General features: G+C 57.4%; 1 protein-coding gene across 17 annotated transcripts in view, besides 7 other annotated features; it reads left to right on the top strand.

Annotated features, from left to right (window-relative positions):
- The window catches only part of SH3TC1 (SH3 domain and tetratricopeptide repeats 1), a 59,032-nt gene that overhangs the window by 23,505 nt on the left and 19,872 nt on the right, over window positions 1-15,655 (top strand). For 9 of the 17 annotated variants that reach the window (XR_007057930.1, XR_007057931.1, XR_007057932.1 and 6 more), the window contains 7 exons: window positions 4,172-4,246; window positions 7,125-7,252; window positions 8,899-9,004; window positions 10,535-10,681; window positions 11,381-11,591; window positions 12,695-12,771; window positions 13,759-13,954. Coding sequence is in view for 13 of the 17 variants with exons in the window: in XM_011513488.1 (XP_011511790.1) it covers window positions 4,172-4,246; window positions 7,125-7,252; window positions 8,899-9,004; window positions 10,535-10,681; window positions 11,381-11,591; window positions 12,695-12,771; window positions 13,759-13,954 (940 nt within the window). In the remaining 4 variants the exon portion in view is untranslated. Of the gene's footprint in view, window positions 1-4,088; window positions 4,247-7,124; window positions 7,253-8,898; window positions 9,005-9,595; window positions 9,667-10,534; window positions 10,682-11,380; window positions 11,596-12,694; window positions 12,772-13,758; window positions 13,955-15,655 lie in introns of those variants that run through there. The other 8 variants (NM_001410712.1, XM_047415792.1, XM_024454094.2 and 5 more) reach the window with 6 other exon arrangements.
- Window positions 316-817: an enhancer, noted in NCBI's record as "H3K4me1 hESC enhancer chr4:8207619-8208120 (GRCh37/hg19 assembly coordinates)". NCBI's record gives its function as "activates a minimal SCP1, AML or CMV promoter by ChIP-STARR-seq in primed H9 embryonic stem cells {active_cell/tissue: H9 hESC(primed)}" and the evidence as "EXISTENCE:reporter gene assay evidence [ECO:0000049][PMID:30033119]".
- Window positions 579-628: an enhancer, noted in NCBI's record as "active region_21289". NCBI's record gives its function as "activates an Ori minimal core promoter by ATAC-STARR-seq in GM12878 lymphoblastoid cells {active_cell/tissue: GM12878}" and the evidence as "EXISTENCE:reporter gene assay evidence [ECO:0000049][PMID:35858748]".
- Window positions 659-748: an enhancer, noted in NCBI's record as "active region_21290". NCBI's record gives its function as "activates an Ori minimal core promoter by ATAC-STARR-seq in GM12878 lymphoblastoid cells {active_cell/tissue: GM12878}" and the evidence as "EXISTENCE:reporter gene assay evidence [ECO:0000049][PMID:35858748]".
- Window positions 818-1,317: an enhancer, noted in NCBI's record as "H3K4me1 hESC enhancer chr4:8208121-8208620 (GRCh37/hg19 assembly coordinates)". NCBI's record gives its function as "activates a minimal SCP1, AML or CMV promoter by ChIP-STARR-seq in primed H9 embryonic stem cells {active_cell/tissue: H9 hESC(primed)}" and the evidence as "EXISTENCE:reporter gene assay evidence [ECO:0000049][PMID:30033119]".
- Window positions 3,441-4,205: an enhancer, noted in NCBI's record as "H3K4me1 hESC enhancer chr4:8210744-8211508 (GRCh37/hg19 assembly coordinates)". NCBI's record gives its function as "activates a minimal SCP1, AML or CMV promoter by ChIP-STARR-seq in naive H9 embryonic stem cells {active_cell/tissue: H9 hESC(naive)}" and the evidence as "EXISTENCE:reporter gene assay evidence [ECO:0000049][PMID:30033119]".
- Window positions 9,824-10,388: an enhancer, noted in NCBI's record as "H3K4me1 hESC enhancer chr4:8217127-8217691 (GRCh37/hg19 assembly coordinates)". NCBI's record gives its function as "activates a minimal SCP1, AML or CMV promoter by ChIP-STARR-seq in primed H9 embryonic stem cells {active_cell/tissue: H9 hESC(primed)}" and the evidence as "EXISTENCE:reporter gene assay evidence [ECO:0000049][PMID:30033119]".
- Window positions 10,389-10,952: an enhancer, noted in NCBI's record as "H3K4me1 hESC enhancer chr4:8217692-8218255 (GRCh37/hg19 assembly coordinates)". NCBI's record gives its function as "activates a minimal SCP1, AML or CMV promoter by ChIP-STARR-seq in naive H9 embryonic stem cells {active_cell/tissue: H9 hESC(naive)}" and the evidence as "EXISTENCE:reporter gene assay evidence [ECO:0000049][PMID:30033119]".

A 15,655-nucleotide genomic window follows, 5' to 3' on the forward strand; every position in this document is an offset into this window, starting at 1 on the left:
CAGCTCGTGTTTTTCCAGGGACGCGTCAGTGATAACAAAACTGGCAAAGAACGAGGCAGGGGCCTTTGAACCCCCATGTTCAGAGACCGTTCCAGAAACAGTCCGATGGGTTTGGCCTTGGAACCCCTGAGAGTCCTCAGGATGAGGCATCCTCGTTCTCCAGGAGGCACCCAAGGTGCAGAGAGGGAAGGGCCGGGCCAGGCCACCCTGTGGTCAGGGGCCGGGCCAGGACGTGTGCCCAGTTTCCTGAATTCCCGGGAGACCTGAAGAGTGACCTAGGTGATCTCCAGGATCCCCTCTTACCCCCATCCTGAGACCCTGAAGGGGACGAGGGGAGAGGCAGGGGAGACCAAGGCCTGCACGGCCCCTCCCGGCAGGAGACAGCTGCGGTTGTGACCCGTCCCTGGGCCTCGTCCTCCCAGTGTCCAGCCTCAGCCCAGTCTCCTCTTAGCTGCCTATGTCCCTGTCTTGGGACTCCAGGGCTTGGCACATGGTAGGTGCTTCGTCACTGTTCAAGGGATTGATGAATGAAGGATGTGTTTGGACAGTGGCGTGGAAACCTCAGATGCTGTCGCCTGGCTCACAGCCAGGTGTGGGAGTGTTTTATACCTGCGATCCTGCCCTTCTGCTTGAGGGTGGAGATGGGAGGGGGTGGATGGCCTCCTGCACTGATCACAAAGGGGAAGTGGTCTGCAGGCACTGGCATGCCTGGGCAGGAAGGGCGGCTCAGAGGTTTGGGGTGGGGCCTGGGCCTGGGGAGCCCACCTGGCCATGGAATCGCGTTCCCTCCAGGGCAGGCCTCATGAAAGGAAGGGGCTGCGCTGTGCCCAGGGCCACGAGTGCACAAGGAGACTGAGACGCGCAGGAGGGCCCTGGCCAGCCTCCCACAGAGCCGCGGGGCCCAGGGAGGAGCTGGGAGCCTCTGGGAAGGGGAGTGGTAGGAGTTGGAAGCCTTTGCCCTGAGTGGCTGGGTGTTTCCTCCTCCGGAGGCTCAGCAAAGCACCGTGGCATCGCCTCTCCCTGGAGTGAATCTCTGTGGACCGAGCGGAGGGGAGCTGAGGAAACTTTCCCTGCTTGGCCAAGGGAAAGCTGGCTTGGGGTGGGGCTCCTCATCAGCTCCTTCACCTCCTCGTCTTCTCTGGACAATTTCAGATAGACATCAAAGGTGGCAAGAAATAGTACAGATAATTCCATTTGCCCATACCCAGGTTCCCTGAATGTTCGCATTTTAGGACTTTTACTTTGTGTGTGTACTCGTGTGTGTGTGTGTGTGTGTGTGTGTGTGTGTGTGTGATTTTCTTCTGATCCTTTTGGGAGTAAATTGCAGACATGATGCCCCTTCATCCTAAAAGGTGTCCATATTTCCTAAAACCAGTACATTCTCTTATATAACCGCATTGTAATTATTTCAATGTTAATTCCCTGCTTTTAATAACACCATCACCTCATCTACAGGCCTCATTCAGATCTTGCCATTTATCCCAATAATATCCTTTATAGCAAAAAAAAAAAAAAAAAAAATTCCTGGGTCACACCTTGTGTTCTGACGTGACCGCGACCTCTCTGAGGTACCTTTTAATCTGGAGGCTGCTGTTTTGAAGGATACAGTTTGGATCTTTTGTAGAATGTCCCTCGATTCGAGTGCAGCTACTATTTCTTCACGATCACATTAGGGATTTGGGCAGGAATCCCGCAGAAGTGATGTTTCTTCAGTGCAGACGATGTCTATTAGTCTCTGGCTGGTGACGCTAATTTTGGTCCCTTGGAGAAGGGGCGGCTGCCAGTTCTCCCCACTGCACAGTTATTTTTCTCCCCTCTGCAGTTAGTAAGTAGCTGGGGGGACAACACTCTGAAACTGCGTGAATATCCTGTTCCTCATCAAATTCATGAAGCGCTACTGTCTCATCATGGGCTGGCCTGGCTGAAATAATCCTTGCGACAGAGGCTGCCAGGCAGTGACTGTCTAATTAGGCAACCCTTCTCCATTCAGCAATCAGCTTTCAACTCTAAGGAAGAGCTGTCCCGCTCCCCAGTTATCCATTGATTTATTTCATTGTAGGCTCACACATCTTTAATTGCATCTCCATACTATATACATCATTACCTATTTTGTCATTCAAATCACCCTAGATTTGGGCTTTCCCTGTGTCTTCGTCACTTAGTGGGTGCGTCCTCACTTTCTGGGACATGAGATATTCCAGGCTTATCTTGCACTTTCCCTGCCATAGCCCTGGGATCGGCCATATCCACAGCCCCGTGTTTCCAGGGAGCCCTGGCTTTTCAACTGGAGGATGGTGTTTAGAAGCTGTTGGGCCGGAACTCTATCAACTTCAATAGGGATGGCACCTTGTTTGAGAGACTGAAGAGGAGACCCAGAGCCAGCGACCATGACACAGGGTTGATTGAGAGGACTTGCGTACAGGGTGGTTCAGCAGTGGCGGGCTGGACAGGACCCCTGTGAAAAGCATGCAGTTGATGTAGCATTTTCCCTTAGCACCCTCCCTCTACCATCCTCCACCTGGCAACCCTCATCCAACCCTTCCAAGCAAAGGGGCAGGATCTGCATGGCCTGCATTCCCTGCAATGAGCCAGGGGCTCAGATCTTCTTCAGACAGGGAGTGAATCTCCAGGCTGGCTGCTGCTGGATTCTTTAGCTCAAAATCCGAGCACACGTTCTTCTTAGCCCATGGGGGCATCTGCGGGGTGTGTTTCGGTTACCGCTGTCAGGTGCATCGGCCAACGGAGTCAAGATCTGAGCACCACATACTTCTTTCCATTTGAAACATTTCTTTCTTTTTTTTTATTTTTTGAGATGGAGTCTCGCTCTGTTGCCCAGGCTGGAGTGCAATGGTGTGATCTCGACTCACTACAACCTCCGCCTCCTGGGTTCAAGTGATTCTCCTGCCTCAGCCTCCCGAGTAGCTGGGACTACAGGTGTGCGCCACCCTGCCCGGCTAATTTTTGTATTTTTAGTAAAGATGGGGTTTACCATGTTGAAACTCCTAACCTCAGGTGATCCACCTGTCTGAGCCTCCTAAAGTGCTGGGATAACAGGCGTGAGCCACTGCGCCCGGCCCATTTGAGACATTTCTGAGCCCCCACTGCATGCCTAGCTCTGGGCTTGGGCTGGGGCTGCAGAGCAAGTGAGGCCTAGGAATGGGCTCTGGCCACACCGGGCGAGTGCACGCCACTGCAGGTGGTCAGCAAATGCGGGTGTGAAGTGAACACCGTCCCAATGCAAGGCCCAAGACCACTGTGGCTGTGCGGCGCCCAGGGCTCTGAGTGAGACGTCTAGGAGGCTGTGAAGACCGGCCACACAGAAGTTCACTACTCTCTGCTGCAGTTGCAGGTTTTCCTAATCAGATCCCCCTGGATCCTGAGGCCTGGATAGAGAAACTGCGCAGGACAGAGATGAAGTGCCCAGGCCAAGATGCAAACTCTGCAGGACCAATGGCCAGAGGGGTGACCCCCAGCAGGGAACCAAGCAACCAGTAGGGGTCTATGTCCTGGCTCCTACCTGCACAAGCTGTGAGGCTGAGCCCGTCTGTGGGCTCAGATAAAGTCCTCCAAAGATGCCCATGTCCTTATCCCCACGACCTACGCCTGCATTACCTCATCCAGCAAAGGGGACTTTGCAGATGTGATCAAAGGCAAGGATCTCGAGATGGAGAGATGATCCCGGATGCTCCAGTGGGCCCTCCATGGAATCACAGGGCTTTTGTAGGAGGAAGGCAGGAGGGAGAGGCAGAAAAGGAGATGCAGTGACAAAGCGGAAGTAGAAGTGGCGGCCACAAGCCGAGGGACGTGTGCGGCCTCTTGAAGGCGAGGAGTGGATTCTCCCCAGAGCCCCTGGGAGGAACAGGGCCCTGTCCACACCCTCACTTTAGCTCTGTGAGGCCCATTGGAACTTGAGAGCGGCGGGATCATACGAGTCGTGTGGTCTTAAGCCTCTGAGTGTGGGGCAGCTTGTCACAGCATGCTGGGAAGTGCAGGCAGCTTCCCTCCTTGCTGGGCTCTGGGGAGACTGGAGGAAGGCAGCTGTGGGAAAGGCGGCTCGTGCGGGACAGAACTCACCTCTTTTCTTGCAGAGAGACCTGGAGCGTTTGGCGCCTTCAGAGGAGCCAGGCCTTTGCTTGGTCTCCCCTAATCCTGGGAACCTGCTGTGTTGCAGACGAGGCTCCTCCTGCCCGCGTGGCTGGGCCTGCTGCTGGGACCCCTCCCTGCCAGATGGGGGTTTATCCCACAGGTAAACATCCTGGGCCCTACACAGGGCTTCAGGTTCAAATCCGGGCTGTGCCGCTCCCTGGGCATCCAAGAGTCCAACCCAGGGCTTCTCAAAGTGTGGCCTCAGACTTCCCACCTTAAAATCATGATGGGAATAGAAAGAAGGGTTTGTTAAATGCGCATGCCCAGGTCCTGCACCCAGAGGGGGACATGGCCCCTGGGGCTCCCCTAGGCATCCCTGTGTGCACCTGCACAAACGGCAGACACGGTCCTGGGGGCTCCGTGGGTGACACCCCAGGGAGGGGCTTCACAGGTGCCATATGGTAAGAGGTAGACGAAAGTACCCACTGCGTCGTGGGGTGAGGTGTCCAGGCACAGGCTTCCCAGGGATGGGATCGCCGCAGGGCACAGGTGGAGGGAGGCAGCCCTGGGCCGGGGAGCAGAGCCCACAAAGGGGGCCCAGGAAGCTGCTGGCTGTGAAGGTGTAAGAAGCCCCTTACCCTGGAGACCCCCCAACCCCCCGCTGGGGAGGAATGGAGACCCCAGCATCCATTGCTGGCTTTGCCCCTTGGCGGTGATGCCCGACTGTCCTTTGACTTTCCTTTTGTGTGGTCAGCACTGCTGGTGGCCACTCGGGATGACCAGGACGCATTAGGCAATAGGACCGTTATTTAGAATTTGAAAATGCAGGCTGGGCGCGGTGGCTCACGCCTGTAATCCCAGCACTTTGGGAGGCCGAGGCGGGTGGATCACTTGAGGTCAGGAGTTCAAGATCAGCCTGGCCCATATGGTGAAACCCCATCTCTACTAAAAATACAAAAATTAGCTGGCGCATGCCTGTAATCCCAGCTATTTGGGAGGCTGAGGCAGAAGAATCACTTGAACCCAGGAGGCAGAGGTAGTGAGCCGAGATTGCGCCATTGCACTCCAGCCTGGGCAACTTCTGAAAAAAAAAAAAAAAAAAAAAAAAAAAAGGCCGTCACAGCTCAGGAACCATTGTGGAATGATGGGCTGGTGCCTCCTGTTGGGGGAGTGGATTCCAGATTCCAGAAGTCTCCAGGTTGGCCCGGTTGGCCCTTCCCCCATAGGGGGTGAGGGTGTTTGCTCAAGGGTCCCCTAGCAGAAAACTCTCAGGCAGGTGCTTTAAGCTTATTCAAAGGTGTGAGAATCCATCTCTGTCTCTGTCTCATTTCCATCTGTCTCTCCCTCCCATTTTCTCCCCTCTCCCTCTCTCTCTTCCTCCCGGTTTCTCTCCCCTCCCTCCCTCTCTCCCTCTGGGTTTCTCCCCCCTCCCTCCCTCTCCCCCTCCCATTTTCTTCCCCCTCCTGGTTTCTCCCCTCTACCTCCCTCTCCCCCCACCTGTTTTCTCCCTTCTCCCTCCCTCCTTCCTCCCCTTTTCTCCCCACTCCCTCCCTCTCCCCCTTCTGGTTTCTCCCCTCTCCCTCCCTCTCCCCACCGTCCTGTTTTCTCCCCCTCCCTCCTTCTCCCCCTCCCGTTTTCTCCCTCCTCCCTCCTTCTCCCCCTCCCGGTGTCTCCCCTCTCCCCCTCCTGGTTTCTCCCCTCTTCCTTCCTCTCCCCCTCCTGGTTTCTCCCCTCTTCCTTCCTCTCCCCCTCCTGGTTTCTCCCCTCTCCCTCCCTCTCCACCCGCCCCCGCACCGTTTTCTCCCTTCTCCCTCCCTCTCCCCCTCCCGGTGTCTCCCCTCTCCCTGCTCTCCTTCTCCCCTTCTACTCCTCATTCTCTTCCCCTCTCCCCACCTTCTCCCTTGGGGCAGCCATGCTCTGCAGAGGCCAAAGCCCCTGGAATGCCACTGCCTAGAGATCTGGGGCCGAGTCTTGACCTGGAGGATTGGGAACACTTTTTTCTCAGCGTCTCCAGGCACTGGGAAGGGATAGTGCATAGGGCAGATGGGGTCACAGCCCCAGGAGCCTGGATTCTAGTGGGAAATTGCCAACCTCAGACATTGAGGAGGGGGCTGGATCTCAGGAGCTCCACAGCCCCCGTGGCAGGTGGCCCCTGAATGGGACACAGCAGACAGAGCACGTGCCCACCCCTGCGGAAGATTCCGCTGGATGGTGCCACAGGGATGGCCCAGAGTAGGGCCGATGGGTCGGACCATGCTGCCATGGGGTCCCAATGGCTCTGCGCAGACCAGGGGACAGACAGGAGGGAGGGCCAGGTGTGGACAGCTGCCCAGGTCAGACCCGCCAAGGCTCAGAACCACGATGGGGGCAGGAGTGGGGTGGGGGGTGGAGCCCATGGGGTTGCTGGTGGCTGATGTGGTGTGTGAGTAGGAGGTGTCATTGATCCGAGCAGGGGTGGGGGCCCTCTGCCCTCTGAGAGACAGGGAAGAAGTGGAGAGGAGCCGGCTTAGGGAGGCAGAACTGAGATTTCCAAGGTGCTTGTGGCGTGTTTGCTGGAGGTGGGTGCCCCCATGGTCCCAGACTCCCCACCTTACAGTCACCATGGGCGTGGAGGAGGAGCTTGCTAAGTGCGGCTGTCCAGGTCCTGTGCCCGCAAGTTCCAATGCAGCAACCCTCTGGGGCGGAGCGCTGAGGGGAGGGGTTGGAGGTCACGGTGACAGGGAGGAGAGACCATCTGTGCGCAGTGGTTTCTGTGCCGGCCTGGCCTGCAGGGGACATGAGTCCACTTGTCCCCACCACTCCACAGGACAGGCACTCACCCCGAAAGAAACAGGCTGGGAGCTAGGCAGTGGTCCAAGGCCTTTATAGGGGTGGGGCAAGGTTGAGATCTAAACCCGGGGCTTGGGCTCCCCAGGAGCTCACTGCCCAGGCCTTCGGGGTCAGGTGTGTGGGTTGGAGGCTGGCAGGTGGAGTACAGTGCCCCACAGACTTCCCAGCCCAGGTCAGACCAACTGCCCAACCTCCGTCTGCCCCTCCAGACCTGACCCTGCAGCTGCTGGCTGTGCGGAGGAAGAGCAGACTGCGGGACCCCGGCCTACAGCAGACCCTCCGGGGCCAGCTCCGCCTGCTGGAGAATGATAGCCGGGAGATGGCCCGCGTGCTTGGGGTGAGTAGCCCTCTGGGGCCTGCTCAGGGATGGGAGCTGGAGTCAGGGGGAGGGAGGGGCTGAGGTGCAGTGTCTGAGACTGGGGACACAGGAGGCAGGCCTCAGAGAGCGAGAGCCACTCAGGACAGTGGTGGCCTTGGAGGGGCGGCTGTGATACCCAGTGGGTGGCGAGGGCTTGTTTCTCCCACTTGCTTTGTGGAGGGCACTGTGATCGTCCCTCTGCTCTCCCACAGCCCCAGCAACAGGGGACCTCGAGCTGTCCCTTTCTCCACCTGCCCTCCACCCACAAGGACTGTCAAAGTCTCTTTGATGGGGAGTTAAGGACAAGTGTGAAGTTAGTCTTATTTTTTCTGGTGACAAAGCCAGCCTCCTGTGGGCTTCTGCACATACCAGCCTTCTGGGGAGGCTGGCACAGGGTGTGTCTTGACCTGGCAGACCTCCCCATGGCTGAGGGCTGGGGGCTTGGGAGCTGGGCTGGGCGTTACCACCACTGACTGGGGTTGGACCAGCCTGGCCTTGGCCGGTGCCTCTTAGCCTCTGTGAACTCCGCTTCCTCAGCCACATACTGGGGATGCTTAGAATTACGTCCCCGGGAGCTGACTTGAGGGTTATGTGATTAACTCACACCAAGCACCTGCAGGCTGCTGGACACATAGTACCTGCTCAACACGTGGGGCTGTCGTGCATGATGTCGGGCACAGGTGAACTGGGTCAGCATGCTGGCTCCGGGTTTGAATCTCAGCTGAGCCACTGACAGGTCAGACCTTGAATAAGAAATGGGGCCTTCAGCGGGACATGGTGGCTCACACCTGTAATCCTAGCACTTTGGGCGAACGACGAAGAAGGATCACTTGAGCCCAGGAGTTTAAGACCAGCTTCAGCAACATAGGGAGACCTCGTCTCTACAAAAAAATTTAAAAAGTTAGCCAGGCGTGATGGTGTGCACCTGTGGGAGAGTAAAATGGGTGGATTATCTGAGCCCAGGAGGTTGAGGCTGCAATGAACCATGGTTATGCCACTGCACTCCAGCCTGGGCAGCAGAGTGGGGCCTCATCTCTGGAAAAAAAAAAAAAAAGAAAGAAACGGGGCCTTATTTTTTGTCTCTGAAATGGAGACTCTAATAGTACCCCCCGACACACACTTCCCGAGTCGGAAGAGTTCCAGTGTTAGCTGCTGTTATTTTTTCATGCCCCTATCAACACTGATTAATAGAAATCAGAGGAGAGGGGATGCTGGCGGGGGGATGGAAATCAGAGCTGATGCTGCAGGTGGGGCTGGGGCCACTCAGGGCTGAGAGCACAGCCGAACAGGGACCAGCTTAGGTCGGGAGAAGCGGCGGTCACTGGTGTGTGGGGGATAAGGCAGGTAGAGTGCTGAGGGGGAGGTGTAGAGGGTGAGGAGCCAGGGCATGGGGGCCACGTGAGCTCTGGGAAGGGCAGGGGCTTCTCCCCACAGGCTCTGGGGAGCCACGGCTGGCTTGAGAGCAGGGGAGGAGCTGACTTGGGCTGTGAAGGAATCTGCCCTGGGTGTGTCGTCCCCCGCCGGGGCCACATCTGCAAGATGTCTCTGTCATGTGGACGCTGTCCTCCTGACAGATGCCCCAGAGCTCCTGGGGACCTCTCGAATTCCTATTTCTTTCTCTTAAGGAATTATCAGCCAGGCTGCTGTCCATCCACAGTGACCAGGACCGGATCGTGGTGACGTTTAAGACTTTTGAAGAAATCTGGAAGTTTTCCACCTACCATGCTCTCGGTAAAGAGGTGACCCTCCCAGAATTGGTCATGGGGACGCCCGTCGGAAGGTGCTGGTTACACACCGTGCACTTAGATTACAAACTGGTGCTTTGTTTATTTATTTATTGATGTATTGTTTTAAGACGAAGTCTTGCTCTGTCGCCCAGGCTGGAGTGCAATGGCGCAATCTTAGCTCACTGCAACCCCTGCTCCCCGGGTTCAAGCGATTCTCCTGCCTCAGCTTCCTGAGTAGCTGGGATTATAAGTACGAGCTACCATGCCCAGCTAAATTTTTTGTATTTTTAGTAGAGATGGGGTTTCACCATGTTGACCAAGCTGATCTCAAACTCCTGGCTTCAGGTGATCCGCCCGCCTTGCCCTCCCAAAGTGCTGGGATTACAGGCATGAGCCATGAATCTGTGCTTTAGAACAGGCAGGCTCACAAAGGCCTCACTAGCAAGATAACAACACTGGTGTGCGCACCTGGTGCTCAGGGAGAAATGCCGGGTAGGCGGAGTCGTAGACGGATGTGGGTCTTTGTTGCAGGAATGATTTAGGCTGTGCTTCTAGTTGCCTTCACACTCTGCCCTCTGTAATTTCACTCAACCAGAACTTGAGGGAAGCTGCCGTCCAGTGGCCTCAGTGCTGACCGGGAAAGCTGTTATTTGAAAGCTGACCCACGTGAGCTCTTCCTGGCACATTCCCTGTTCCATTTGGAGGAATTCCAGGCTCTAACGGAGCCTCCCTGGGGATCTTGCGACACCACCCTTGATTTGAGGGCTAAGTGAGTTAGGGAGTAAGAATTGTAGCCACAATTCCCCAAGCACCGGTGAGCAGGGCTGAGGCTCATCCCACTGTGGACGTGGGCTTCTTGATCCGGTTCTTGGAGGAAGTGGCTCATCTGTGGCTGCCCATCCACAGTGATGGCCATTGTGGGGGGATGTCCATCCAGAGGGCAGCAGGCTTCCTGTCTCCCTCTTTCAGAGTCCACTCTACGCTGAGTGTGGAGGCAGGATTCTCACATCACTTGCCTGTGCCTTACACGTGCACCGAGCCTCCTAGTTCAGCTGCGGTGAACGAAGGCTCACTGCCCCAGACGAGAGGGGGGAGCTCGCAGCATCCCAGAGACAAGGCTTCACCTGATAGAAATGGAAACAGATACCAGCTCATGATGCGGGGCGGGGCTTGCACATGGGCATTTCAGACCCACCTTGCTGCTGGCCCATACCCCCTGCGGCCTGCACGGCCCCCGACCATATGGTCTCCATCTCACAGAGGGGAATATGGAGGCGTGGAGAGGTCAGATAACTTGACCACGGTTGCCGCTGGTGGGTGGTGGAGCTGGGCTTGACCTCTCACAGCCCGGGTGGTCAGGCCGTGGGCTGCTGTGTGTAGCCAGCACTGTGGGCACCCCAGGGCAGGTGGGTGTCTTCCATGGTCTCCCTGGACCTGGTCAGTGCAGGGCTCAGCCGACCTGGGACCACACAGGCTTCCCTGCCTCCCTGCCCCTCTTCTGGAGCCCTCGGGTGACTGGGCCTGGCCTCCACAGGCTTCACTCATCACTGCCTGGCAAACCTGCTCATGGACCAGGCCTTCTGGCTGCTCTTGCCCAGTGAGGAGGAGGAGACGGCCATCCAAGTCCATGTGGATGAGAACGCCTTAAGGCTGACCCACGAGAGCCTCCTCATCCAAGAAGGTGAGCGTTGCATGGGGTGATGGCCGAGATCCAGCTGTGCGGGGCACTCCCGGGCCATGGGGTGACAGCCTGGATCCCGCTGTGCTGAGCATGTCTGGGGCTGTGGGCTGCGGAGCCTCTGGAGGCTGAGGGGTGCTTCAGGCAGGGAGGTGTGCTTGGTGTGGCACTGTCACTTAGCTCTAGAGACCCTGGCCAGCCCCCAGGGACACAGAGGTGCCTGGGAAACAGTGGAAGGGAGGTTCTGTCTAGTGCCAGTCCCCAGCTCGTGTCTCTGACATGGCTGCTGCCCTGGCCTTGTGGCTGGCCGCCGAGTCTGAGGAGGGGACATGAGGCTGTCTTTCCTACCCGACCACAGCAGGAGGGGGCCTGCCAGCAGTGGCTGGGGTCACTGGGGCAGTCCATGGAGAAGGGCCCTGGGGGTCCCACCTTTGGCTCCGCATCGCACAGTCAGGGAAACTGAGGCCCAGGGCGAGGGTCTGAGGCTGAGCCAGCCTCACACACCACATGGAGGCAGAGCTGGGACCTCGCCCTGGGCCCACCTCTCCTTCTGAGCCCCTTTGGGTCTCTGTGCCTGCAGACACTGGGGGGGCCGCTCCTGTGGGTGTTGCCTTCGTTGTCTGTCCGGCAGGGGTGTGGGGGGCAGGGCCACAGCTGCGCCCAGTCCGGCCACCCTCAGTGACCACCTCCATCCTTTTGAAGGGCCCTTCTTTGTCCTGTGTCCTGACCACCATGTGAGAGTGATGACGGGTCCCCGGGATGCAGGAAATGGCCCCCAGGCCCTCAGGCAGGCTTCGGGGGCACCCCAGGGAGAGGCGGCCCCGGAAACAGACTCTTCACCGCCGAGCCCCAGCGTGTCCTCCGAGGAGGTGGCAGTGGCGGCCGCCCCGGAGCCTTTGATTCCATTTCATCAGTAGGTACCGGCCTTTGCTGCTCTGAGAGCTGTTGGCCTCGCTGAGACTCCCAGGCCCGGGTCATCTGGAGGTCAAGGGGATGGACAGGGAATGGTGGGGGCCCCGGACAGACCTGGCCATGGCCTTGTTCTGCTGCTTCCCAGCTGTGTGGCCTCGGCAATTTGGCCCACCTCTCTGGGCCTCTGGCCTGCCAGCTGCATGATAGGCCAATGACATCCACTTGGCAGGGCTATCCTGGGGTTCGCTGGCACAGGAGATGTGGCATGAGCTCTCACCAGGCTCATCCGAAAAGCTTTTGAGGAAGCTACATAAAACATGCGTATCCAGAGTGAGAAGGCACACGGGACCCACAGATAGAGCCAGGGGATGTGAGGACAGGTGACATGCAAACTCCTGTTCACTTGCTGAAGCGGGGGGCATTAACTTGGGTTGGAGCTTCCTGGTAGCCAAAGCAAAGAGAGAACCTCAATCTCTTGATTTGCAGTGTCTCAAGTGACAGGCTGTGGCTTGGCTTCTCTCATTACTGAGACCCAAGAGGAGCTTCTCCTAAGAATCCTTCCTATGTGCTCTGGCCAGTGGTGTCCCAACAGGGGACACTGAGAGTGTTCTGCCATCTGGGAAAGAGGGATTGTCAGTCATCTAGTCCAGCTTCCTTTTTTTTCTGGCTGAAGGAACTGAGGCTGAGAGAGGAGTGATCTGTCCAGGTTATATGGCAAAGTCACAGTGGTACTAGGATTTGAATCCAGGCCTCCAGAGCCCCAGGCTGGGATCTCCCTCACCCCTCACTGTGTGGAGCTGGGGGAGGCAGGTGCTTTGGAGGTCTGCAGGGTTCCAGGCCCACAGGGGTGGCGGTGTTTCCAGGACACGGGCCCTAGGCTGAGGGGTGCGGGGCTCCCTGGGGGCAGTGCCACACGCACGGGGCCTGAAGGCCACACACCTGGGCAGGCATGTGTGTGTGTGTGTGTGTGCACGTGTGTGTGTTGGGGGAGGCGAGGGACCTGCTCAGGTTGCTGGGGGCTGCTGGCCTGTCCAGTCTCTGCACAGGATGTATCTGCCCCAAATCTGAAATCCCGCAGCAAAGACCTCCCTCTTCCGGCTCCAGGTGGGCTCTTAGGATCCCCCAGGACCCCATCGACGATGCCATGGGTGGCCCTGTGATGCCCGGCAACCCGCTGATGGGTAAGTGTTTCCATGGGCCTCTCTTTTTTGGGGAAATGTGTGTGCTAGGGAGCAGCACCAACATTTTGGAAGTTGCCCTACATCCTCCCTGAGCCAGAGAGATAGCTATCAGGTAGTGCAAGAGTAATTGTGGTTTTTGTTATTGCTTTCAATGGCAAAAACCGCAATTACTTTTGTACCAACCGAGTCTTCTCCAGCTTGTGAGGTCATAACTGACACTCAGGAAGCTCTGGGGGCTGGTGCAGCGTCATAGGATGCTCAGTGAAGCTGCACCAGGGCCCCCGGCCACTGTCTGCAAAGAGCTCCCAAACGCCACTTCTCAGACAGTGCAACCCAACAGTCTCAGAGTCTAGCCTTCTGTCACCATGGGAAACGCCTGGAAGGCCCTGGGCCGAGGTGGGCTGGCGCTGGCTGAATTTGCCACGTGCACTAACAGAGGACCGTGACCGCGTCCTCTTTATGAAAAGCTGGCACTGCCAGCAGCCCTTCTCCTTGGATGCCGGGTCCAGCGCTTTGTGCTCTGTGGCAAGCTGCCGGTGTCTGGATGGCCTGTGCACCTGTCAGAGCTGCCGGTGTCTGGGTGGCCTGTGCACCTGTCAGAGCTGCCGGTGTCTGGGTGGCCTGCGCACCTGTCAGGGGGACTAAAGCCCCATGCAGGAGCCGGGTGGGGAGTAGGTGGGGCCGGGGGTTGTGGCTGCAGAAGGAAAGGAGGAAAGAGCCTTGGCCTTGGAGGCTGATGGCCGAGGCTTATTTATCAACATCTCTGAGCCTCCATTTTTCTCATCTTCAACAGAGGGATAAAAACATCCCCTCTGAGGACCACGTAGACATTCCCTCCCTCATTGCGGAAACCAAGCTTTACTACGAACCTCCTAGTAACCAAAAGATGAATTCCCCATGGTTCAGGGTGGCTGGCATCGGCCCTGTCTGCCCGCTCTGGCCCCCATTTGGTCTCCCTGGCACTCACCATGTGGCTTTCTTCCGCAGCTGTGGGCCTGGCCTCGGCATTGGCAGACTTCCAGGGCTCGGGGCCCGAAGAGATGACCTTCCGAGGTGGCGACCTCATCGAGATCCTTGGGGCGCAGGTGCCCAGCCTGCCCTGGTGCGTGGGCCGACACGCAGCCTCGGGCCGGGTGGGGTTTGTGCGGAGCAGCCTCATCAGCATGCAGGGCCCCGTGTCCGAGTGAGTGGCTGGAGCCCCGCCCCTTTCCTGAACCCACCCCCATCTCACCTAAGGGGACGTTGCTGCGTCCACCTGGCTCCCCAGGTAACAAGCCTGAAAGTCACTGTGGACGATGCCTAGTCTCTTCCCTTGTCCTCAGGCTGCTGCCCCCTTGGCCCCAGTGCCTGACTCCAGGGTTCCCTGGCGTCCTTTCTCCGGGCTGCTGCAGGGAGAGCGTTCCCTCGAATGCACACCTGCCCATGTGCATCATCTTTCCGTGGCTACCGTGATAAGGCACTGCACGCCGGGGGCTTAAAGCAACAGAAATGTGCTTGTTCAGAGTTGTGGAGGCCAAAAGTCTAAAACCAAGGCCAGAAGGGCCACATTTTCTCTGGAGACTCTAGGGGAGGGTCCTTCTTGCCTCTTCCAGCTCCTGGTGGCCGTGGGCGTTCCTTGACCTGTGGCCACATCACTGCACTCTGCCGCCGTCTCCACGTGGCTGTCTTCCTCTGTGTGTCTTCCGTATTCTCTTCTTAAAAGGGTGCCCATCTCCTAGCACCCATCCAACTCCAATCTGACCTCATCTTAGCTGAACTAATTACATCTGCAAAGATCCTTTCTCCAAGAAAGCTTACCTTCTGAGGTTCCGGGAGACATGAATTGAGGGACACGATTTAATCCAGTACACACGTCGCTCTCCTCCGTTAAGCCCCAGGAAGCTTCTGGGCCCGACCTTGCAGGCCCCCATGGGCTGCACAGAGTACCTTGTGCCTTCCAAAACTGCTCTGGGTGACACGTGTGTCCTTCTGCCTGGGATGCCCCCTCTCCCTGAACCCCGTGTTCTCCTGGGGCCTTCCATCAGCCCCCGTGGCTCCTCTGGGGGGGGCACTCTTCTGGCCATACGCCTCTTCCTATGTGATTTACACGCCACCCATGACCTGCCTGCTCCCAGCCAGGGAACTCCAAGAGAAGAATTCCCTGGTCACTTCTGTGTTCTCACTGCCCAGTGCGAGCAGCAGCAGGGGGTCTTTGGAGAGGAGTCAGCTGTGCCCATCCTTTGATGGAATTCTGTTTCCCTGGCCTTGTCCTTGTTAAGACCTCAGTCAAGGAGCCCAGAGAATGTGGGTGCATGGAGAGGCCACCTTCTGGGTCATGTGATCCTGGTCCTGGCCCCACCAATGAGATGCTTGTCTTCAGTGGTCCTGTTCAATGTTTAGGGCTGCGACAGACCAACACCTCTCAGACCAGGTCTCAGAGGCCGTTTGTCACCATGCCTCATCAAGCCGTTCACTTGTTCCCCTCATGGAAAGGGTCCGTCTGCTCTGGTACCTCTGGCACCTGTGCATCAGAAGCAGCTGGAAGCTGGCCAGGCCATGCACTGATGGCAGGAGCTAGACCAGCAGTTCCCAAAGCATGTTCTCACACACTGCTCCATCATAGACTTCATCATGCCCTAAGGAGTGGGGAAAAGCTTTGTCCACATCCCTTGTGGGTGATCCCAGGGATTCCCAGCACAAACAAGGCATCTTTTTCCTGTTGAAATGCCTTTTCCACACTTACTTAACCTCCAGAATCCTCCACAACCCTGTTTGCTTTTGGCTGAGCTGGTGTTCCATGGGACACTCTTTGGGGATCCTTGGTCTAGCTGATCCCTACCATCTCCAAGGGAGACCACAAATTCTCAACAGGTCACTGGGGGCCGTGTGAAGTCAACATGTACTG

This window comes from Homo sapiens, chromosome 4 (genome assembly GCF_000001405.40).
Source record: "Homo sapiens chromosome 4, GRCh38.p14 Primary Assembly".
Lineage (NCBI taxonomy): Eukaryota > Metazoa > Chordata > Mammalia > Primates > Hominidae > Homo > Homo sapiens.